The sequence below is a fragment of the Homo sapiens genome, chromosome 5, assembly GCF_000001405.40.
Source record: "Homo sapiens chromosome 5, GRCh38.p14 Primary Assembly".
NCBI classification, from domain to species: Eukaryota; Metazoa; Chordata; class Mammalia; order Primates; family Hominidae; genus Homo; species Homo sapiens.
The window spans coordinates 78050528-78075789 of record NC_000005.10 but is presented as its reverse complement, the minus strand read 5'-3'; the positions used below and the strand labels follow the sequence as shown (position 1 = coordinate 78075789).

The 25262-nt window shown below is 37.3% G+C and overlaps 1 protein-coding gene across 2 annotated transcripts in view, besides 1 other annotated feature; it reads left to right on the top strand.

Moving 5' to 3' along the window:
• The window catches only part of AP3B1 (adaptor related protein complex 3 subunit beta 1), a 294177-nt gene that overhangs the window by 218909 nt on the left and 50006 nt on the right, over nt 1–25262 (top strand). The gene's annotated exons all lie outside the window — the stretch shown is intronic.
• Nucleotides 9874–10427: an enhancer, noted in NCBI's record as "H3K27ac-H3K4me1 hESC enhancer chr5:77361187-77361740 (GRCh37/hg19 assembly coordinates)". NCBI's record gives its function as "activates a minimal SCP1, AML or CMV promoter by ChIP-STARR-seq in primed H9 embryonic stem cells {active_cell/tissue: H9 hESC(primed)}" and the evidence as "EXISTENCE:reporter gene assay evidence [ECO:0000049][PMID:30033119]".

Below are 25262 nucleotides of genomic sequence, written 5' to 3'. Positions count from 1 at the left end.
GTTTGGCAGCATGACCAAGAAGCCCTGTACTCATGCCCCTCAGCTCCCCATGGATTTATAGGCCGAAGGATAGGAAGAAGCAACCCCATTTGTAATCCACTTGAATTTGGGCACCCAGAGTGGTACAAAGAAAAGCCACAAAGCAAATGTAGCTTCTGCAGTTTTTATCATTTGTCCTATCAGGTTCCTTATCAAAGGAATATGGGAAATTGGCTAGCAAGTAGTCTTACGGATTTTTGCTATTGTCGAAAATTGGCAGCCAGTGGAGTTACAACTCTTCCGTGAGTTAGGGATAAGTCCCTGACCCAGTTTGTGTTGTAGGAACTCAACTGGGAAACAGAAGACTCTTATCAGGCCTTTCCTTTGTTTTGGTATGGAAGTCACTCTGTTGGTTTTAAAACAATAATAAGAAAAAAACAAACCATAATTCATGAAGAAGTATCTGATTCACTCCATCTGAAATCTACTAAAACAGTATTTGGAATTATTAGGATAATTGTGCATTATAATAGTAACTATTGTGATTGAAGTTAGTTGCATTGTATTTAGGATTTCAGTTTCTCTTGAGTAGTCTTATCTTAGATATATCCTCCCCAACCACCCCCCTACCAGTTCTCCTCACTCTCTTTTAATTGCTACTAGGGTATTTTAGTTTTGTTTTCCAATCTCTTATATTGGCAGAGTGCTAGACTTTTTTCAAGTTGGTCTGCAAGGAGAGATTGCTTTGAGGGACGTCTTTGTTGAATATGTACGTTTACTAAGTTATATGCCAGACATTTCATGAATATGTGATCTCATTCAAAAAATTATATGATAAAGTTTTTCTAATATAGTAGAAGAATCATCTTTTTTTTTTGAGACAGGGTTTTGCTTTTGTTGCCCAGGCTGCAGTGCAGTGGCGCAATCTCAGCTCACCGCAACCTCCGCCTCCCAGGTTCAAGCAGTTCTCCTGCCTCAGCCTCCTGAGGCATGTGCCACCACGCCCGGCTAGTTTTGTATTTTTAGTAGAGATGGGGTTTCTCCATGTTGGTCAGGCTGGTCTCGAACTCCTAACCTCAGGTGATCCACCTGTCTCAGCCTCCCAAAGTGGTGGGATTACAGGCATGAGCCACCGTGCCCGGTGAAGAACTATCTTTAAAAAAATTTTTTTTTTCCATTTTATAAAGTTAAGGTATATTCAGGCCCCAGGCTAAGAGACAAGTCCAGCTAAGATCAAATTCCTTTGAGTTTGGAAGAGGGAGAAATTGTAAGTCAAAATTAAAAATAATTTTGTCATTTTAAATTTAGGAAAAATCCTTTATTTGTTCTGATGAAAATGTCAGTAGTCATGGAACTGTGGTAAAAATAATGAAAAATCACTGGCCTGGGTCTGCTTCAATTGAAAACATTTTTAAATTAAAGTGTGACAGTATTTTGTGCTTCCATTGCCTAGCCATGCCCCATCTTATTCTTTTATTCAATTCTCTGGGTATGAGGTTGCTTTAATTCTTAAATTAAACCTTAAGGTATGTCATCCTGCTGCTTGATCTTTCTATTTCTATGCTACTTCTGAGGTACTCATAACAGACCATTTTCATCTCTCCTTTTCCTAGATTACTAAAAGGAGCTACTTTTTAAAAAGAGATTGTTATTAATTTTTAGTTGGAATTTTTTTATTGCAAAATATTTTTAATTGGCTTAAGCAAATATGTGCCAGTTTGTCCTAACTGGCGGATAGTACTCATAATGTTAGTTGTTAGTATTTTAGTAAAATTCCCCACAGTGACAAATCCGCTGAATCAGATGCTAATTATAGTTATTAATGAACTAGCAATTATTTGTGGCAAAAAACCCAGGTCACCCAAAAAAACAAAGGAAACATGCACACAGATCTGCAAGAAATTGAAGGATTAAAGAGGTTGTGATAAAGAAAGCCTTAGGCCTTTCGACTTCCCTTCCTCCTCCTTTGTGGTAAGTAGTTCTGCTGGCTGTGAGTTCACTTGTTTCAGAGCTGAGAGTTCACTGAACATCTATCCACTTTTCCCTAAGATTATGATTTTTAGCTTTTAATTATTATTATTAAATATACCACAGTAGGAAATAAGATGATTTTTAAAATATAATTTATTTAAAAATGTAATATGTTTTTAAAAGATTCATCTTTTATGGCAGTTTTGTCATCTTCGGTGAAAATATGTAAATAAATGAGTTTCTGAAATTCTATCTTTTAAAAAACAGTTCATAGTCTGAAATTATGCATTTAAAAAAGGCAGTTCATAGTCACACAAATTTGATGGAATTTTGTGTGACTATGAATTGCTATATTTCAAATTTTGTTGCTACTGTTGAATTGTGGTATTGAAATGAAAAATATAGTTTTTAAGCATTATGGTATCTTAGATTATGCATTGGTCAATCATATAGCAAATATTATTTAATTACATGTCAGCCAAGTTAACTTCTGTTACCACTGTTCCCCTTAAAAACAGTGCCAAATTTTTTTCTGAACACAGGGCAGGGCATGGTATGGAAATTAATAATTCTTATTCTAATAGTATTAAATCTCTTAACATGAGAAACCTGACCTAAACATGGAAGATGTTATGATATTTACAAAACCTTTATTTCTCTTCGAAGGAAGAGAAACGAATTTAGCTGTAGAATACATGTCCAATGAACACTAAGAATTGATTACCACTGACAAGAGAGTATGGAGTAAAAACAAGTACAGTATATAACCCTAATATCAAAGAAAAGTAAAAACCACTTAACTTAGAATATATCAGACGTGGGCTGGGCGTGGTGGCTCACGCCTGTAATCCCAGCACTTTGGGAGGCCGAGGCAGGCAGATCACGAGGTCAGGAGTTCAAGACCAGCCTGAACAACATGGTGAAACCCTGTCTCTACTAAAAATACAAAAATTTGCCGGGCATGGTGGCTTGTGCCTTTAATCCCAGCTACTCAGGAGGCTGAGGCAGGAGAATTGCCTGAACCTGGGAGGTGGAGGTTGCAATGAGCGGAGATTGCACCATTGCACTCCAGCCTGGGTGACACAGTGGGACTCCATCTCAAAAAAAAAAAAAAAAAAAAAAAAAAAGAATATATCAGACACATTGTTACTCAAATCATTCAGGGAATATAATTATATACAGCTTTTATAAGCCTATCAGTAAGTGTTTTTCCTTAAATTTGCAGCTGTTTTTCATTACTGAATTTATGACTTTTCCCCTCCAAATGTTAATATGGAAAATCTGCTTTACACCTCTGTACAAATAATACTCCCCCCAAAAAACAAAACAGAAAATTTCAGCAAATTCCAATTCAGAAGGCATATACCTTTAGATTAAGAGAGATTTAAAAGCGATACCAGCCAAATGTGTTCATCTTGCTTGAATTGTGATTATCTCTAAAATGATATGCGTGAAATGGCCAAGGAAATGTGAATACTGTATTTTAGGTGAAATTAGAGGAATTTTTGTTTTATATCATTTTTAGATGTGATAATATTGTATGTTTTCTTTCAAAATCTTTATCTGTTACATATACAAACCAAAGTATTTACTGATGAAATAATACATGGAATTTGCTTTTCAATAATTCAGAAGTTGAGTAAAAGATTAGATTAAACAAGATTGGCTAATGTTGGTAATTTTGAAATTTAGTGCTCAGTATCTAGTTGTTCATCATATCAGTGTCCCTGCTCCTGTATACATTTGAAAATTTTTCATAATGCGTTTTTAAGTGCGTAATTTCAGAAACTCATTCATTTACATATTTTCACTGAAGATTTGACATTCATGCTTCATAGAATATGTGACCTGACAAAATATCTTGTAAATATAAACTAGTACATCAAAGTTTACATTCAGTTCAGGCTGTTAGCTATGAAATTAGGGAACAGGATTCTAGAGTCCCTTCCAGCTCTAAAATTTCTAGAAATCTAAAGAAAGTAAGTGGAGAGACTTCAAATGGCTTCAGTAAACATCATCAGCATAGGGGAAGGGTTGCCTTGTCTTTTACATTAGAAATATAGATGTAATAATATTGGAGTCTGGGTTTCTGGAAGATAGAACAGGACCTTTTTTTATTCCCAGTGCTTAATACATAATAGGTGCTCATCAAATGTGTTTGGAATGAATTAACCCTTCCTATTTTCCAGAGTCATCAGTATAGAACCCATTAACACTGCTGTCAGTTTAAAGAACTCCATTGGTGTTTGAGTGTTTATTTATTTTTATTTTATTTATTTTAAGTTCCAGGATACATGTGCAAGATGTGCAGGTTTGTTACATAGGTAAACATGTGCTGTGGTGGTTTGCTGCAGTATCAACCCATCACCTAGGTATTAAGCCCAGCATGCATTAGCTATTTATCCTGATACTCCCCCTCCTCCCGTGCCCCCTGACAGGCCCCAGTGGGTGTTGTTCCATTCCCTGTGTCCATGTGTTCTCATTGTTCAGCTCCCACTTATAAGTGAGAACATGCGGTGTTTGGTTTTCTGTTCCTGTGTTAGTTTGCTGAGGATAATAACTTCCAGCTCCAGCCATGTCCCTGTGAAGGACATGATCTTGTTCCTTTTTATGGCTGCATAGTATTTCATGGAATATATGTACCATATTTTCTTTATCCAGTCTATCATAGATGGGCATTTGGGTTGATTCCATGTCTTTGTTGTTGTGAATAGTGCTGCAATGAACATATGTGTGCATGGATCTTTATAATAGAATTATTTGTATTCCTTTGGGTATATACCCAGTAATGGGATTGGTGGGTCAAATGGTATTTCTGCCTCTAGATCTTTGAGGAATAACCTCATTGTCTTCCACAATAGTTGAACTAGTTTACATTTCCACCAACAGTGTAAAAGCATTCCTATTTCTTCATAGCTTCGCCAGCATCTGTCGTTTCTTGACTTTTTAATCGCCATTCTGACTGGCATGAGATGGTATCTCATTGTGGTTTTGCTTTGCATTTCTCTAACGATCAGTGATATGGAGCTTTCTTTCATGTTTGTTGGCCACATAAATATCTTCTTTTGAGAAGTGTCTGTTCATGTCCTTTGCCCACTTTTTAATGTTTTTTTTTTTGTTTTTTTCTTGTTAATTTGTTTAATTTCCTTTTAGATTCTGGATATCAGACCTTTGTCAAATGGATAGATTGCAAAAATCTTCTCCCACTCTGTAGGTTGCTTGTTCACCCTGATGATAGTTTCTTTTGCTGTGCAGAAGCTCTTTAGTTTAATTAAATCCCATTTGTCAATTTTTGCTTTTGTTGTAGTTGCTTTTGACGTTTTCATCATAAAATCTTTGCCTGTGCCTATGTCCTAAATGATATTGCCTAGATTTTCTTCTAGGGTGTTTACAGTTTTGGGTTTTACATTTTAGTTTTTTTTTTTTTTTTCTTGAGATGGAGTCTTACTCTGTTGCCCAGGCTGGAGTGCAGTAGCGTGATCTCTGCTCACTGCATCCTCTGCCTCCTGGGTTCAAGCAATTCTCCTGCCTCAGCCTCCCAAGTATCTGGGATTACAGGTGTGCACCACGATACCTGGCTAATTTTTGTATTTTTAGTAGATACGGGGTTTCACCATGTTGGCCAGGCTGTTCTTGAACTCCTGACCTCAGGTGATCCGCCTGCCTCAGCCTCCCAAAGTGCTGGGATTGCAGGTGTGAGCCACGGTGCCCAATCACATTTAAGTTTTTATTCCATCTTGAGTTAATTTTTGTATAAGGTGTAAGGAAGGGGTCTAGTATCAATTTTCTGGATATGGCTAGCCAGTTTTCCCAGCACCTTTTATTAAATAGGGAATCTTTCCCTATTGCTTGTTTTTGTCCGTTTTGTCAAAGATCAGATGGTTGTAGATTTATGGTCTTATTTCTGAGTTCTCCATTTTGTTCCATTGGTCTATGTGTCTGTTTTTGTACCAGTACCAGTCTATTTGGGTTACTGTAGCCTTGTAGTATAGTTTGAAGTCAGGTAGAGTGATACCGCCAGCTTTGTTCTTTTTGCTTAGGATTGTCTTGGCTATACGGGCTCTTTTTGGTTCCATATGAATTTTAAAGTAGTTTTTACTAATTTTGTGAAGAATGTCAATGGTAGTTTAATGGGAATAGCATTGAATCCATGAATTACTTTAGGCAGTATGGCCATTTTCATGATATTGATTCTTCCTATCCATGAGCATGGAATGTTTTTCCATTTGTTTGTGTCCTCTCTGATTTCCTTGAGCAGTGGTTTGTAGTTCTCCTTGAAGAGATCCTTCACTTCCCTTGTTAGCTATATTCATAGGTATTTTACTCTCTTTGTAGCAATTGTGAATGGGAGTTCATTCATTATTTGGCCCTCTGCTTTTCTGTTGTTGGTGTATAGGAATGCTTGTGATTCTTGCACATTGATTTTGTATACTGAGACTTTGCTAAAGTTGGTTATCAGCTTAAGAAGCTTTTGGGCTGAGATGATGGGTTTTCTAGATATAAGATCATGTCATCTGCAAACAGAGGCAGTTTGACTTCCTCTCTTCCTATTTGAATACTCTATTTCTTTCTCTTGCCTGATTGACCAGAACTTCCAATACTATGTTGAATAGGAGTGGTGAGAGAGAGCATCCTTGTCTTGTGCTGGTTTTCAATGGGAATGCTTCCAGCTTTTGCCCATTCAGTATGATAATTGGCAGTGGGTTTGCCATAAATGGCTCTTAATTATTTTGAGGTATGTTCCATCAATACCTAGTTTATTGAGAGTTTTTAACAGGAAGGAATATTGAATTTTGTCAAAGGCCTTTTCTGCATCTATTGAGATAATCCTGTGGTTTTTGTCTTTAGTTCTATTTATGTGATGAATTATGTTTATTGATTTGCATAGGTTGAACAAGCCTTGCATGCTGGGGATGAAGCTGACTTAATCATGGTGGGTAAGCTTTCTGACGTGCTGCTGGATTTGATTTGCCAGTATTTAATTGAGGATTTTTGCATTGATGTTCATCAGGGATATTGGCCTGAAGTTTGCTTTTTTTTTTGTTGTTATCTCTGACAGGTTTTGGTATCAGGATGATGCTGTCTTCATAAAATGAATTAGTGAGGAATCCCTCCTTTTCAATTGTTTGGAATAGTTTCAGAAGAAAGGTTATCATCTCCTCTTTATATTTCTGGTAGAATTCAGCTGTAAATCCATCTGGTCCTGGGCTTTTTGGGGTTGGTAGGCTATTTATTACTGCCTCAATTTCAGAACTTGTTGATCTGTTCAGGGATTCAACTTCTTCCTGGTTCAGTCTTGGTATTTACCCATTTCTTCTAGATTTTCTAGTTTATTTGCATAGAGGTGCTTATAGTAGTCTCTGATGGTTGTATTTCTGTGGGGTCAGTGGTAATATCCCCTTCATTATTTTTTATTATATCTATTTGATTCTTCCTCCTGCTCCTCCTCCTCTTCCTTCTTCTCCTTCTCCTTCTCCTTCTTTCTTCTTCTTTCTGCTTTCTTCTTCTTCTTCTTTTAGATGGAATTTTGCCCTTGTTGCCCAGGCTGGAGTGCAATGGCATGATCTTGACCCACTGCAACCTCCACCTCCGGGGTTCAAGCGATTCTCTTGCCTTAGCGTCCCGATAGCTGGGATTGCAGGCATGTGCCACCATGCCCAGCTAATTTTGTATTTTTAGTAGAGATGGGGTTTCTCCATGTTGGTCAGGCTGGTCTCCAACTCCTGACGTCAGGTAATCTGCCCACTTTGGCCTCCCAAAGTGCTGGGATTACAGGTGTGAGCCACCACACCAGGCCTCTTTTCTTCTTTATTAGTCTAGCTAGTGGTCTCTTTTATTAATTTTTTTCAAACAACCAGCTCCTGGATTCATTGATTTTTTTTTTTTCGAAGGGTTTTTCATGTGTCTGTCTCCTTCAATTCTGCTCTGATCTTGGTTATTTCTTGTCTTCTGCTAGGTTTGGGGTTTGTTTGCTCTTGGTTCTCTAGTTCTTTTAGTTATGATGTTAGGATGTCAATTTGAGAGCTTTCTAGCTTTTTGATGTGGGCATTTAGTGCTATAAATTTCCCTCTTAACACTGCTTTGGCTGCATCCCAGAGATTCTGTTACATTTTCTCTTTGTTCTCATTGGTTTCAAAGAACTTCTTGATTTCTGCCTTAATTTTTTACCCAGGAGTCAATCAGTAGCAGGTTGTTCAATTTCCATGTAGTTGTGTGGTTTCGAGTGAATTTCTTAACCTTGAATTCCAATTTGATTGCGCTATAGTCTGAGAGACTGTTAAGATTTCACTTATTTTGCATTTGCTGAGGAGTGTTTTACTTCCGATGATGTGATCGATTTTAGAGTAAGTGCCATGTGGCACTGAGAAGAATGTATATTCTGTTGTTTTGGGGTGGAGAGTTCTGTAGATATCCATCAGATCCACTTGATCCGGAGCTGAGTTCAAGTTCTGAATTATCTTCTTAAATTTTGTGTCTCGATGATCTGTCTAATATTGACAGTGGGATATTAAAGTCACCCACTATTATCATATGGGAGTCTTAAGTCTCTTTGTAGGTTCTGAGAGCTTGTTTTATGAATCTGGGTGCTCCTATATTAGGTACGTGTATATTTAGGTTAATTAGCTCTTCTTGTTGAATTGAGCCTTTTACCATTATGTAATGCCCTTCTTTGTCTTTTTTGATCTTTGTTGGTTTAAAATCTGTTTTGTCAGAAAGTAGGATTTCAACCCCTGCTTTTTTCTGCTTTTCATTTGTTTGGTAGATTTTTGAAGCTTAGTTTGGCCAGATATGAAATTCTGGGTTGGAAATTCTTTTCTTTAAGAATGTTGAATATTGGCCTCCATTCTCTTCTGGCTTGTAGGGTTTCTGTGAGAGGTCTGCTGTCAGTCTGATGGGCTTCCCTTTGTAGGTGATCTGGCCTTTCTCTCTGGCTGCGCTTACACTTTTTCTTTCATTTCGACATTGGTAAATCTGACGATTAGTGTCTTGGGGTCGATCTTCTCACGGAGTATCTTACTGGGGTTCTCTGGATTTTCTGAATTTGCATGTTGGCCTGTCTTGCTAGGCTGGGGAAGTTTTCCTGGATGATATCCTGAAGTATGTTTTCCAACTTCTTCCATTCTCCCCATCTCTTTTAGGTACCCCAATCATTCATAGGTTAGGTCTTTTTACATAATCCCATAATTCTTGGAGGTTTTGTTTGTTCCTTTTCATTCATTTTTCTCTAATTTTGTCTGCCTGTCTTATTTCAGCAAGATAGTCTTCAAGCTCAGAAATTCTTTCCTCCGGTTGGTCTGTTTGGCTATTGATACTTGTGGGTTGCATTGTGAAGTTCTCATGTTGTGTTTTTCAGTTCCTTCAGGTCATTTATATTCCTGCCTAAACTGGTTATTCTGGTTAACAGCTCCTGTAGTGTTTTATCACGGTTCTTAGCTTCTTTGCATTGGGTTAGAACATGCTCCTTTAGCTCAGCAAAGTTCGTTATTACCCACCGTCTAAAGCCTACTTCTGTCAGTTCATCCATCTCAGCCTCAGCCCAGTTCTGTACCCTTGCTGGAGAGGTGTTGTGGTAATTGGGAGGAGAAGAGGCACTCTGGCTTTTTGAGTTTCCAGCAGTTTTTCATTGATTCTTTCTCATCTTTGTGACTTTACCTCCAATCTTTGAGGCTGCTGACCTTTGGATGGAGTTTTTGTGGGGACTTTTTTGTTGATGCTGTTGTTGCTTGATGTTTGTTTTTCTTTTAACAGTCGGGCCCCTCTTCTGTAGAGCTGCTGCAGTTTGCTGGGGCCCACTCCAGACCCTATTGTCCTTGCTCCCTCCTATACCTGGAGGTGTCACCAGTGGAGGCTACAGAACAGCAAAGATGGCTGCCTTCTCTTTCCTCTGGGAGCTTCATCCCAAAGGGGCACCAATCTGATGCCAGCAGGAATGCTCCTGTGTAAGGTGTCTAGCGACCCCTGTTGGAAGATCTCACCCAGTCAGGGAGCACAGGATCAGGGACCTGCTTAAGGAAGCACTCTGGCTAACCCTTGGTGGAGGGGTTGCTCTGTGCGGGGGCGGGAATCCCACTCATCCAGACTGCCCGGATTCCTCAGAGCTAGCGAGGGGAAGGACTAAGTGCACTGATCCACCAAGACCATGGCTGCCCTTCCCCAGAGTGGCTTTGTTCCAGGGAGATCAGAGTTCTGTCCCTAAACCCCTGGCTGGAGTTGCTGAAATTCCTGCAGGGAGGCCCAGCTCAGTGAGGAGGAATGGGTCCATGTTCACTCTAAAGAAGCAGTCTGGCCATGATCTGCCACAGCCACTGTGCTGCGCTGTGGAAAATTCCTCCGGGGTCCAAACCGCCCAGTCTCCCCGGCACTGGCAGGGGAAAACGGCAGCCTGGAGCTGCAGTGATGGCTGCTGCCCCTTGCCCGGGAGCTCGGTGGTCTTAGGCAGCAGGCAGCCACAGTGATGGCAGCTGCCCCCCTTCCCCTGCCAAAGCTCAGTCATCTTAGGCAGCAGGCAGCTGTATGATGATGGCTGCCCCTCTTGAACTCACGAGTCTCAGGGAGTCTCCAGCCGAGGGGCCACTGAGAGTCTGCACAGCTGTGCTTGGGACCCAAGGCCCTGGTGGCATGGGCTCACGAGGGGATCTTCTGATCTGCGTCTTGCACAGATCCATGGAAAAGGCGTGGTTTCCTGGGCGGGATAGTACAATCACTCACCACCTCCCTTGGCTGGGGGTGGAAGCTCCTCTTGCCCCATGTGGCTCCTGTGTGGGCTGTTGCTCCACCCTGCTACTCCTCACTCTCCGTGGGTCGTGCCAACCACCTAGTCAGTCCCAGTGAGAGATACCTCAGTTGCCGGTGCAGGATTCACTCACCATTTTCATTCTTCTTGGTGAAAGCCTCTGACCACAGCTGTTTCTAGTCAGTCATCTTGGCCCCTCCCCACTGGTTAATATGTTAGTTTATTACATTACTGAGAGAATTATTCCCATCAAGCCCATATCTAGAAAGTGGTTGTGCTACTTACACATTCCTTTTATTACTTAGCATGTAATATTTAAGACAGTAAAATGGGGATTAAGTTATTGCTTTAAATTATTTGACTAAACGTAGCTTAATATTCCATTCTTTATATTTCTTAAATGCTCTCTCTAAAAATACAGCATGGTAAGCTGAAAAATGAAAAATAACATTTTGATTTTATTTTTCTGTCAATAGAGCAGATCTAAAAATTTAAAGCACATCTTTCTAAGGTAACATTTACCTCCTCACATCTTTAGCAGCTATCAGACATGACATGGGACATATTCATTGACCCTAAAAATTTTCATCAGAATCATGCACTGAAAGGGGGCAGCCCCAGCCAGACAAGAGGCTCATTTCAATTTTAACGGCTGTAATTAAAGGTTAATTCACTGAGTCAGGATTAACAAGGAAAGTACAAATGATAGGCAAGCAGCTGCCTTTATAATACAAGATTAGAACAATGCAATTACAATAAGAATTAGAAAAAATCAACTTCCAGAAAGGGTCTTTTAATGAATGAATTAAATTGTGATCTCTAAACATGCGTATATAAGGTAATGCTTCTTAAGGAATCATATAAATTGATACTGTATATCTAAGCATATTATGTTAAATGTGGAAACAACAGTTAACACTAAAAACTTTCATTATTAGTAAGTTGCCCAAAAATGTACTTGTATATATCTGTACATGATCTTTTTAAATGGCAAAATTTTTTCCCTACTTCATGCTCCTTTTTTTTTTAATGTCCACTGTGTTTACCTGAATTGTAATTGATCTTTCCCTCTTCCTGCCCGACCCCCCCTGCAAGTACTTCTTATGTTTATACCTTAAATCCATTTTTCTTATAGAACGTATTCCTAAAACTCCTTTTCCACCTAGTGTTAATTAGAAAGTTGACAAGTGTCATTTTCAACTTTATTATGTTTACATATTTTATCATTTTTAAAAAAAATTAAGCTCAGTACTATATTTTATGCAGATCCTGTTTATTTTTTATTTGATGTACACTTTAACCTCATTGATCCAAGCTTTTATAGGTGTCGTAGATTGCTAGAAAACTACTAGACTACGTATTATATTAAACATTCCTATGTGAAAGTCTTTTCATAGTGAATGGCACATAGTAGGGCTTCAGCAAATGTTATCACTTCAATCTGTTTTTGTGTTACTGTGATTGAGGCCATATACTATTTAAGAATTTGTTGGATCCTGCATTCAATCAAATATTTACCATGTGTCATAGGATTCAAAAAAGAAGATGTAGGCACTTAGGCTTATAGATGTAAAGAAAATAATTGTCCATCATGAATGCAGGCTGTGGAAATTGTTCCTCAAAAACTGAGGTTCCATAAAAGGAGTTTACATTTTGTCAATTGCTGTTGAGCTGATTTAGTATAATAAATCTGTATGCTGGGGTAAATCTGAGTATTGATGCCTAGAAGCTAATAATCCAGTAGCATCGTTCCTGAAAAAATATATAGTGCTATTTGAAGATTATGTAGCCTGTGATATGCAAAACTATAAGCACCGAACTGCTATTACTGTGGAAATGAGCTGTAGGTATAATATAGATTTACTTGATGAAATGATCTTTATTTTGTTGTTAAGCTGACAAGTGCTGGAGAATTTGCTTTATGTATACATTGTGGGAAACCTGAGGAAAATTGATAGTGTTTCACTGGTATTTACATTAACCCAAGCATTGTATTTGGAGTGGGACAGCATGCTGTTTTGAACAATATTTTGACATTAAGAACTCTACAAAATAGTATTTAAGCCCCCTTTGGTGTGGGCAGTTGATAACTTTTCATTCATAATTAGCTCATAGAGAACCGAGAGACATTTCAGGGAAATTGAACTGTCAGTGGGTAGAAACAAGCATTTGACCTCATCACATTGAGTGGGGCCCATCATAATTTGTTCATTTGGTGCCCATCAGCCCAGCCTCATCTCTCATACGGCACCTCGCTGACCTTCCCTCTCCAATTCCGCTCAGTTCAGCTTTAATTATGACTCTGCAGACCTGAAGAAATATTGCAGCTTGCTCTCAAAAACCCTGAACTGCCACTCACCAAAAGATTGGTTTTTAACAGGTAATAAATGCCCAGAGGAAATGGTGCTATGTCCACAAAGAGAACTGTGGCTTCTTTTGAGATTTTGCTGGCTCTCAAGTGTGTCCCTGTTGCCTAGTGAAATTTTTATTTCTAACACAGTAAGCTTATGACTAAATTCACTGCTATACGGAAATGTCATGAGTTTTTTAAGTAAACTTTTATCTATTCACAGAAGAAATTCTTAGTTGCTTGGTTACCTAGTGAATTCACCTATTGAAAGTTGAGAGACAACTTTAGGTCTTTTAGATAAAGTGTTAGTAATTTTAGAATACTTCATTTTTACTTTTTAATTTTAATTACTTTTTGAGCTACTGGCCACCCCAAAGAGATAAAATGAGAAATTATAAGTACCTCTTCTAGCAATATAATTAATTTGGATTCATCAAATCACTTGGCAGAAGGAATCCTGCTGAGTTAACAATGTTGTCTCCACTAACAAAAACAAAAACATGAAGTTTAAAATAAACATTCAGGTTACCTACCATACCACATCTAACTACCCTGTCCACACCATGACGGTATTTTTGCAGAGAAAGTTGATAGCAATCAGAGACTGTGTAGGAGGAAAATACAAAGCTTCAAAAATTATAAAGCTAAACTTTTGTTCTCAAATTATATCCCTAAAGATTTCACTGCAAATAAAAATATTGAAAACTGTAGTCTCATACTGTGTATCCTTGTAGTGAGTGTTAAACTGTCAGCAGGATTTTCAGGTCATTTGACAAAAAGGATACAGGTGCAGTAGCTAGCAGTGAAGGTGACTGCTGGTTTCATCAATCACTTTGCCTTTCTTTAAGTTGATACATAATGGACCCCTTCAATCAGCTTCCTTGTTCTTTGTCACTTGTTTGGAAAGAAGAAAAAGAAGGGTGGAAAGGCTGGATGGACTCTAAAATCAAGGTTAGGAAATGAATTGTAAGTTATTTACTCAGGGTACAGAGGATGTCAGTGTGAAAGAGGGGCTCTTCATAAAATGTCGAGTTTGTCAATGGGTGATAATATGCAGTTGGAAGCTTCATGCCAGCCTTGCGCGCTGACAGTGCTGCTGAAAGCAGTGATCCTAAATATGAGTTTGAAATTAAGAAATTGTGTTGTGGCAGAGACATGTTTTATACCAGAAAATGTTCACAGGTTCATTTTACTTCTAGGCATTACATCAAGTGCTTGATCATACCAGCATCATATAGATGGTGAAAACATGTCAGCCACTGACAACTTAGTCTTGTACCTTCTGCCATACTTAATGTGTGTCGTGTGTCAGAATTTTCTCAAATTCCTTGATAAGAATTTGAAATTTTTACATAGCTTTATTTACTAGAACCTGTAGACATACCACTCACCAAGTTTGAATGCCTTGCTAGTTTTAAATGCTCAGGGAATAGGTAAAACAGTTGAAAGGAAACTATCAGAAATTAATGTCTGTCTTTTTTTTATCTGGTTTTCTCTTAGAAAACAATACCTTTTCACTGATTTTTAAAAAGGATACATACCTAGAGAAGGTTATCAATTCATCAGTCTTTTGATCAATGAGGGATGTGGGAAATCATAAGAGAAGTGTTTTTTTTTTTTTCTATGTTTGACCAGATTATTTGTATTCTGAGACCCAGCGGTGTGCTTTCTGGAAGTATGTTTATGGATATGTGGTTCAGTACTTCTTTTTTCAAAGGTATCAACCAAAGGGTGCCACTATATGTCAAGAGGTAGTGTGATGATCTGAGCAGGTGTCAGATTAAACATAAAAATTACATAACATGATTGTTTGAAATTTCTCTCTTCTTAGTCCTCCAAGAAAAATTTGGGTAGAATCGTGGATATAGGTTAATGCCCTTTATTTTCTTTGCAGACTTTTATCCATGGATAGAGCAAATTCTCTTTTGCTTTCTAGTAAAACTTTAGGGATTATGGTACTTGTGATGAAAGATTTTTTTTTTTCAAAAACCTGAATATTTCTGTTAATAAGCATGGATGGAATGTCTACTACATTCTGATCTTTGGTATGAGCTGTGGCAAATAAAAAAATAAGTCATGATGTCAGTTTTGAGTCCTATCTTATAGTCTTATGGAAACAGAAATCATGTAAACACAAGAGTTCAGTAGCGTATGAGTCGGGCTGCAGTGGACGTTTACATAAGGTGTCTTGGGATCATGACAGAAGGAATTACTAATGCTGCCAAATACACAGAGAAAACATTCTTTTATATTTGTAATATATTCTTGAATTATAATGTGCATGCCTTCTATAATATGATTTACCCATATGGAATATCCACAAAGAAACATTTTGTCCTTCTACATGTGTGTTTCTATCAGACCGATACAGACTGAATTAAATTTTTTCTGAGCAGCATTTGCTTATATGTTTTGTGGTTCCACTTTTCTCACATAGACCTGATTGCATAAGCGTTCACTGGTGCACCTGTATTTATTCCAGCGGTTATAATGGGTTATAGACACCTTAACTTGACACAAATGGTTGCAGAATGCTTAAGAGTCCTCATTCAGAGACTCGGTATAACTTTTATAAACATCTGACTTTTTGTATTGTGCTTATTTTAGAGAGAGGTAACTCTAGACAAAAATAGCACATTTTAGAGTTTTCAGGATTTCCATTCTTTTTTGATACCTACTTACTATTGATATTTTTCTAACCTAGGTATTTTATTATCCTGAACTTGTTCTGCCCCACCCAGACCCCCTCATGTTTTTGTTTTCCTTCCTTTTCCCCATTGAAACATGTCTGTTTGTATTTCTTCAACCAAGTGTCTATATCTATCACTACTACTTCTAATAATAATCCCCTTTGCTTATATGCAAAATGCTTCTTTATGTGTATTTTACCAGAAAGATTCATACTAAATAAAGGGGGTAAAGAGGGAGTCTTAGATAATAAGCAGTGCATTAAATTGAAGCCTCAATTTAATGATGGCAGTTCATTTTTATTTTTTTCATTTGTTGCCAGCACCTGTCTGGCAACTACAGATAGATCAAAACCAACCCATGGCGCTTATTGAAAGCATAGAAGGAGTGTTAGGGGAGGGGAGTTTTTTTAAACCAGCTGTCTAAACTGATTCTGACAATTTGAGAGCCACTCAAATTTATTAGTGTCTATAATAGTTGGAGTTTAAGTTCAATGAGAAAATACTGCGGAGTTTTGTTGCTTCTCAGATCACAGATCAGCCATTGAAAAAGTTGCATGCATACAAACTATACTATAAACTCTGAAGATAGGTTTCACAACATAAGAATTCAGAACAGGGGTTTTCAACTAGGCACCGCAGTTACCTTTATTAGTTTCCAGTCACTGATGTAACACATTACCACAAACTTAGTGGCTTAAAACAGTGCAAATTTATTATTATTTTTCAAGGCGTCAGCATGACCATGTTCCTTCTGGAGCTCTAGGGGAAAATCCAATTTGGTTTTTGTTTTTTGACTTTTCCAGTTTGTAAAGGCAGCCCACATTCCTTGGTTCATGGCTCTTTTCCACCTTCAAAGCCAGCAATGGCCAATTGAGTTGTTTTCATGCTGTATCACTCTGACACTGAATCTCCTGCCTCTCTCATTCACTTACAGGATCTGTGTGATTACTTGGGCCCTCCCAGAAAATCCAGAATGACCTCCAATCTCAAAGTCAACTTATTGGCAACATTAATTCCCTTTTGCCACATAATGTTACATATTCATTGGTTCTGTGGATTAGGACCTAGACATCTTTGAAGGGGCTGTTTTTCTGTATACCACCTCACTTATAGAACCTGTGGGAAGAAGGAGGTGACTCAGATACTCATGTCTCACCCCAACCCTATCAAATTGCAGAGGAACAGGAGGGCAGGGTGATGGCACTCATAGAGGCCATTTCCATGAAGAGCAGAACCCGGCACCACACCCAGGCTTGTATTCTCTGGTCATGATGTTGATTGTACCATGGGGATAACTCACTAGTCATAGAGTTCAGATGCAGCCCTGCTGTAGAGATTATGGCCATCTGCCTAATGAAGCAATTCGTATTTGAGGCAGTTCTGCTTAACTACAGTTAAGGAAATTAAGAGAAATTTGAAATTTTCAGATCAGTCATATTAAATAAAGTGTCATATCTTCCTAGTACTGTCTCTTTGATGCTTCAGGTCAGGAAATTTAACACTTATATTTAAAAATTTTTACTTACTTTACTTTAGAATCAGAATTATAATAACATTTTTTTTTTTGAGATGGAGTCTCACTCTGTCGTCCAGGCTGCAGTGCAATGGCGCGGTCTCGGCTCACTGCAACCTCCGCCTCCCGGGTTCAAGCGATTCTCCTGCCTCAGCCTCCGGAGTAGCTGGGGTTACAGGTGCCTGCCACCACGCCTGGCTAATTTTTGTATTTTTAGTAGAGATGGGGTTTCACCATGTTGGCCAGGCTGGTCTCAAACTGCTGACCTCGCGATCTGCCCACCTCGGCCTCCCAAAGTGCTGGGATTACAGGCGTGAGCCACTGCGTCCGGCCTATAATAGCACTTCTCAGTGAAACATTTATCTCAAGATAATGGAGATATAAATCTCAAATGAAATGAATTTTTATCGAGATGTTTTAAAATATTTTAAAATATTTATTTACCATCAAATATAATTACAGGCACAGATAACTAACCGGTGCTATTAAGGTAGTAGAGAACTAAAAAGTAATTTACATTTTTCAAAAATCATGCAAAAACATGATTCGCATACTGTGATTATTTACCTGGCTAATTCTTTTTTGTTTGGTATGAAATTATTATGTAATAAAGAAATTATTCTTATCTAGGCTTAGCACTTTGTTAGTTACATGGGATACAAGATTACACATAAAGTTAGTGTGAAAATTAAATTATAACATGTCAAATGGAATATGGTTAAGATCATAATGGGCTGGAGTAGGGCCAGGAAGAGTTGAATAGATAAATTGGGACTTGAACTGAGCATTGCATTGTGGGTAGTAATATTTAACTAAATATGATTTATGATAGTAGATCACAAGTAAATAATGATTTACTGTGATTTAAGTAAATCATAGAATAAACAAGTGAGTTCTGTGTGCAAGATTGGCAAAAAGTAAGGGGAGCACTAAAATTTAGGATTAAAATACAGTGTGTTTAGAGGGCTGTACATTTAGATGTTTTAAAGGCTTATTTTTTCATCAAAGTGTTATGGATCTATGAAATCCTGTTCTTAAAATGAAGGGACACTTTTCTGAAAATACCCAGCTCAAGAAGAGACGGGAAATTGTTTCATATCATATGATTATCTCCCTGGCTAGTTCTTTTTTTCAAAGATTACTGTCTATCAGACTTTGTGTCTTAAACCAAACGGGCGACTTCATTTTTCCCCTCCCTGGGAACTAAGTGTGGAAAGGAACCCTAAGGGTCCACTGCTGTCTCCTAGTGGACTAAACTAAAATGAGAGGAACAGTGGGAAGAAATAGATTAATAAAGACTACAGAAGAGGAGCTAAAAGTTAGAATTTGCCATAAATTGGATGGAGAGTTCACTGAAGCAAACCTCAGTCGATTGTGGAACTAGATTCATGCCGTGGGAAATCTCGGAATGACTTAGCCGTGACTTCTTTCCTGTTGGCATGGTGTCTTTTTCAGTAAACTCCTAAGGAAAACAAACAAAAAGTACTACAAGTTGATGATAAGGTGGGTGGGCAATATCCTGTATAAAAATGAAACTATGTTCTAGAAGAGTTGGATTTATTTCTGGACACCGACCTTTTTAAAAGCAATGCATCATTCTCCATCCAACAAATGCTGCCATAGCCAATAATATGTTGGCTTGTCCATTTTCGGCTTGTAGTACAAAATAAATGAAAGCCAAGGACATTACAATTGGGAGGGAAAGAGGACTATTATTTAAAAGGCTTTTAAATGATGTCACTATATATTCTTTTAACAACATCCTCTAAAAGCCTTTGAAAAAATAGTCCCTTCCTCCCTCAGTTGTTAACAAAGACCATACTGGGGACTGCTCTTTAAAAGGCTGTTAAATGGTGATACTATATTTTTTAACATCAACATCATTTAGAAACCTTTTAGAGAACAGTTCTCTTCACCCACAACTAACAGAGGAGGGAAAAACAGATGCGGGGGAAGGGATTACTTTTGTAAAGGCCTTTGGATGGTACTATCAATAAATACAGCAATGTTGTTATAAAAGCATTTTTCCAATGGTGATTCAGCTTTTTGACATGTACTTTTAATCTCAGGACCCTGCGTTATCTGACAGATTGGTGTTTTAACGTGGGCTGAAAACTCAATTTACTAATAATCCAAATAATGCCTTTTATTGAACTTTCTGCAGTTTAAAAATCAGTTTCACATATATGGTCTCATTTGATCCTCAAGACAACTCAGTGAAACAGACAGGATATGTATGATTAGCCCCATTTTACAGAAGAGGAAAACAGAAGCTCTGAGGTTGTGGTTTAGCTAAGGTCTCACCATTTAATATGTGGCTGAGTTCAAACTATAACCCAGATCATTTGACATCTGGTCTCATACCCCATGCAGTTTCCTGAGGGTACCTTCATTGCTTTTTTTAAAAAAGTGGTATTCATCATTAGTCTTTTCAGCATGTCCAAATACTGAGTTAATTCCTTACAATTAGTATAAAAGTGGGATTCTGTCATTTTGGTACTGAAGGTAGGTATCTAGTAGAAATTTTATTAACAAATAATCCTGAGGAAGTAAAGAAGTGTAAAATATTGTCTCAAGGTGTGGTTGTCCCCTGTGATGTAGCATTCAGACTTCCCCTTAGATTCCTTTGCCTTATGATGTATGCTTATGAAATTATCACTTGAAATCCACTTTCAGACATGCAGTTTATTAAATAACTGATATTTTAAAGACAATTCTAATCTCAGTTTATGGATTTGTTTTTAAAAGTTATTTGTTAAGGATACTGATTATAATTAAGATCACATTCAAAAAAGTTTCCATGCTAGTTCTTTCCACCTCTCTCCTTGAAGGAGAGAAAAAAATCTCCCCATGAGCTTGCATGACTGACCTTTACTTTCCTTTATCATAAGGACCATTTTGTGTTTATTGAAAAAGGAATTATAGCTTATTGCTTGACAGAAATGACACTGAAGAATATTACATTTCAATCTTAGCTCTGCCACTATTTTTTCTCTTATGCTAATAAACATTGTCTTTAATAATAATTAAAGAAGGAGACTTTCACCAGCAACACACTGTCACATGCAGTGTCACACTGACTCCTCAAAAGAATCCTATCAATTAGATACAAATACAAGCACAGAGAAGTTAAATGATTTTCTTCTCATCAAATAGCTTGAAGGTCTTCTAACTTAAAATCCAGTGTTTTCCTTCGTACCACTGCCAGCTGTAATTCTGCCTCATGAGAAGGAAACTAACCATTCTTACTTCTGAGGAAAAATGTTTAATATGTTAAAAATACGTATAGCCTGAGAAGACCTGGCCAGTGCCACAGTGCAGGAGTGAGGCTCAATCCCAGGACTTGACCCGGAACAGCCATGCAGCCAGGTGCCTTTGCCATGAAGAAAACCAGGCCTTATGTAGTAAATCACGTTCTCTCCATCCCCACCTCCTTACTGAAAATTTTAAAATATTTACACACAGATCAAGGGGAATAATGTTTATATAAGTAAGTGTGTGTGTGTGTGTGTGTGTGTGTGTGTGTGTGTGTGTGTCTGTAGGTCTGTCTGTCTGTCTTATGGTCTCAGGGAACCCATTTCCCCATCCTTTCCCTGCATCAGGAAATTTTCAGCAACTTGTGGTACCTGGAACTGGCATCTAGGATGTATGAGGATCCTTTTCCCTTCTGTCAGATTCAAAGAAAGCATCTGTAGTTTAAAATCACTATACCCATAATAAAATTCCCTTTCCAATTTGTACATCTCCTAAGACATACTTCTTTCCTTATCGCCAGGACCTCTTCTAGGTGACATCCGCATCCTTCATCAAGGGGAATCCATGTCCCTAAGTCACAATTCACTTAAATGCAAGGCAACACAGCCAGCTTTTAGAGGCCACAGTCCCATCTCTGAAATATGTAGAACAGCTTACGGTTTCCCTCATACAATTTTGTAAGGTTCATGGCCTAGCTTTTCTCTGGGAATCTCCATTTGGATCTTGAAGTCCTGTTGTAAATCTGTTCAGCATGGCCCCATTCATAATGGCTGATAATTCTGTCTTGACGAAATCATTGTTACTACCAAGATTGTTTGTGTGAAGCTCACCTGTTCCTTTTAGGCCATTCTGTTTTCATCCTCATTTTCCTTCCTCTTATGGGGCCCATTCCATCTTCCTATTCCTTCTTCCCCTCCTTGTCATTCTTATCTTTGGATCTCTTAATCACTTATCCATATTCAGTGAAGATCTTAGTATTTCATACATAATCTCTCTGGCCCACCATCATCTTGGGGAACTGCAGTGTTCATATTCATAACCTGTGCAACATGTAACCTCACAGTCTCTTGATCTGTTCAATTCTAATAACTTCACCTCCACTGAACTTCAGTTTTTCGTCCTTTCAATTCTGAAATCTTAACTCACTCCCTTACTTGTGCCTATCCTGCTCCTCAGGCCCTTCATGCCTCCAGCTGTTTATGTTTAGCCTAGATTAAAACAACCCTGAAAGATAGGTGCTAGTGTCCCCATTTCACAGACTTGAAAATTGAGATCCCTTCAGCTTCAGTAACTTTTCTGGTGTTACAAGGCTAGTAAAACATGTGCTATGTATAAAACCAATTTCAGCTCAAATCTGTATAGTTTCAAAGCCCTGTGTTTCCCACCACACCTCACTGCTGAGTGTATGAAGGAGTTACAACTCCAAGAGAATTATTTTGTGTAGCAGCTTGTGGTACAGCTCAGAGTAAAACGAACCTAATGACGGGGGCAAATTAGAGAGACCTCGTATAGTATAAGCAAGAGAAGTCATAAGGGAGCAAAAGATCGGAAGGGACACCAAATTGTTATGGTTACCTGAGGGGGACTTTTCTTTTCTTTCTTTTTTTTTTTTTTTTTTTGAGATGGAGTCTTGCTCTATCACCAGGCTGGAGTACAATGGTGCAATCTCGGCTCACTGTAACCTCCGCCTCCCAGGTTCAAGTGATTCTCCTGTCTCAGCCTCCTGAGTAGCTGGGATTACAGGCATGCGCCACCATGCCCAGCTAATTTTTGTATTTTTAGTAGAGATGGGGTTTCACCATATTGGTCAGGCTGGTCTCGAACTCCTGACCTCGTGATCCACCGGCCTCGGTCTCCCAAAGTGCTGAGATTACAGGCGTGAGCCGCTGCACCCGACTGGGACTTGACTTTTCTTATATTTTCATACTATTTAAATTATTTTCAATAAATATATAATGCTGTTGTAATTTGAAAAAAAAGATTTAAAAGTATTTTCAGTGTTAATGAAGACTTGAATTAAGCTGGTGGTAGAGGGACAGAAAAGAGGAAATGAATGCAGGAGACAGTGAATTTGTTTCTAATTAATGTGAGGGTGTCAAAGATAATGCCAAGGTTCTGAGCTTGGTTATAATGGGAGAAGACACTAGCATTTTCTTTTTTATATTATGTTTTTAATCTTGTGAATGAAAAAGCAGTAGAACTGCTAAGATCACGTAATTATCACATCTTTCAAATCACAGCTTAACAATGCATAATTGTTTTGGGCTTCTGTAAAATGCTCTGGGTTCTAAAGAAATTTGTTATAACCAGTTACTGAGAACTTCATGCTGAACACTTTACAAGTCAAATTCAGTCTGTTTTTATTAGTACTCTTAAGCCAAAAGTCAGAAAAGAAATATAAAAAGAATAGGAGAACATATGTATGAATAGTATAACATATCAGTATTCATGGTTCTGGTGCTATTTACCACGTACGTGATATATAAAACAATATAGACATTATTCTGGCTTTCAGATATATAGAAAAGCAGTAAGTGTATTGATAGTGAAGTTTATTGATCTGTCTTTGGGGAGGAGAAAGAATGGGATATTAATTTCCTTATATCAAAACCATTGTAAATTGAATATATCCTATACCAGGGATCGGCAAACATTTTTTGTAAAGGGCCAGGTAGTAAAGATGTTCAGCTTTGCAGGCCACAACCACTCAACCCTGCCATTTTAATGCAACAGCAGCCACAGATAATACATAAATAAATGAGTGCATCTGTGTTCCAGTAAAGCTGTATTTATAGACACTAAAATGAATTTCATATCATTTTAATGTTACAATCATATTACTTTTGATTTTTCAACCATTTAGAAATGTGAAAGTCATTATTAGTGAACAGGCATTGCAAAAATAGACAGTGGACCAGATTTGGCCTCTAAGCATGGTTTGCTGGTGCCTGCTTAATACCGAGCATGAAATAAGATGCTCATTAAATATTTGTTCATTATGTGTTCACGTATTTCCACAAATATATTTTTAATATATATTATTACCAAAATAAGAGGTGAGAAAGTCTTGTGTGCTTTATAATGTATAGTGATTACTAAAATAAAATATGAGAAATTATCATAAATTTGTATATCAAAATTTATATACATAAGGAAGAAGTTATCTTTAGTATTAAAAACCATTTATTTGAAGTAATATTTGCTGGAAGATTCAAATATATTTCTTCGAGTCTGTGCTTATATGTAAGAGTTAACCAAATTTGCCGTTTACTTTTTTAAATCCTATTCTAGGTCAATACTAGGTTAATGCTAGCCTCAATGAAATGGATTGAAGGTAAAATCAAGACCCACTTTCTACAGTTTATAGGATAAATGAGACAATACTGTGACTTTCTGCATTACAAATCTTATCAATTGAGACATACATTGGTTTTAAAAGTACTAATTTTAAAGATGAAGCTGTGCCTCTGTTTATAGCTATTTTCTTACCTCGTCATTTTTATAAATTATATATCAAAATAGATACTGATGTAAAGTAAGCCAAACAAAACTAGATACAAAGAGCATTTTATATACTGCAGATTTTCATATCTTTGAAATTCAAAAACAGAATGGATTGATAATACTTAATGACTGGGTAACTAAATGTGGATTAAAGCATAAAAGGCTGGGAAACATTGTTTTCATAAAGCTTTACGTGGAAATGTCATCTTTGAATAGTAATGTGGATGCTGAACAAGGCTTATTCCAAGGCACTTACTTGCTATTCCATGTTTTATTTTTCGAATCTCATTTTAAATTTTATAATTCAATCATTTTGAACAGCTATGTTCAAAAGAAGTTTTACAACTTTAATCTTAATAATCTCAAAAAAAAGCAGACATGCTATGTCATAAAATAACTATTAGTGACTAGTTTGTATCCTATAAATCTAACTTGAGTTGATAATATGGTCCATTACCAGCTAACTGCACAGAGTATTTTTCATTTTACACTCTTCAGTTACTTTTTAGTGAAGTGTTAAAAAATATGAAGCTTTTCTCCTCTCTAAAATTGCACGCTGTCTGTCTGTTATTAGGGAGATAACAGCTCTTATAAATGTTTCAGTAAGCGCTAAGTAGACAGTTATGTGCACTCTCATTCCACGCTTATTTGCTTACTGTAATAAACTGATAAAATATGTGTGGTTTGTCTCTGTGTATCTACAGGCATCATGAGTCACATAGATTTCCTTTAGAAATAATGTTGTGTCTGCAGAATTGATTGCTTATTTTCATAAACCATCTAAAGGTACACAAACGACTTTTATTATTTAAACATATGCTGTGTAAAGATTTGTAGAGGATTATCTCATTGTTACTGGATGCTTTTTGTTCTGTTAACTCTTGGGGGAGGCTTGTTATTTTACAGTTACTGCAGTTACTGAACTAATTACTTCCTCACGAGCCATAGTAAAGATGACCTATATCATTTGCTTATAATGCATCTAAGTTTTTAATTCTTTGAATGTTAGTCGTTAAACAATTAAATCAAAACTAATGTTTTCAAACTTTGTCTTTCATACTCTTGTTTATATAAGTTTTAATAAAATAATACACTTATAAGTAGACATTTCAAGAATTAGTGTTTGAATTATAGAAGTCCCTCAATAAGCTGTTCTTTGTGCATTTAAGAAATGTACTTCTTTATTTGTTCACAATTTTATGTAATAGAAAATTCAAGTTATATCATAAAACCAACAAATATTAATATAGAAGATCTCCACATATC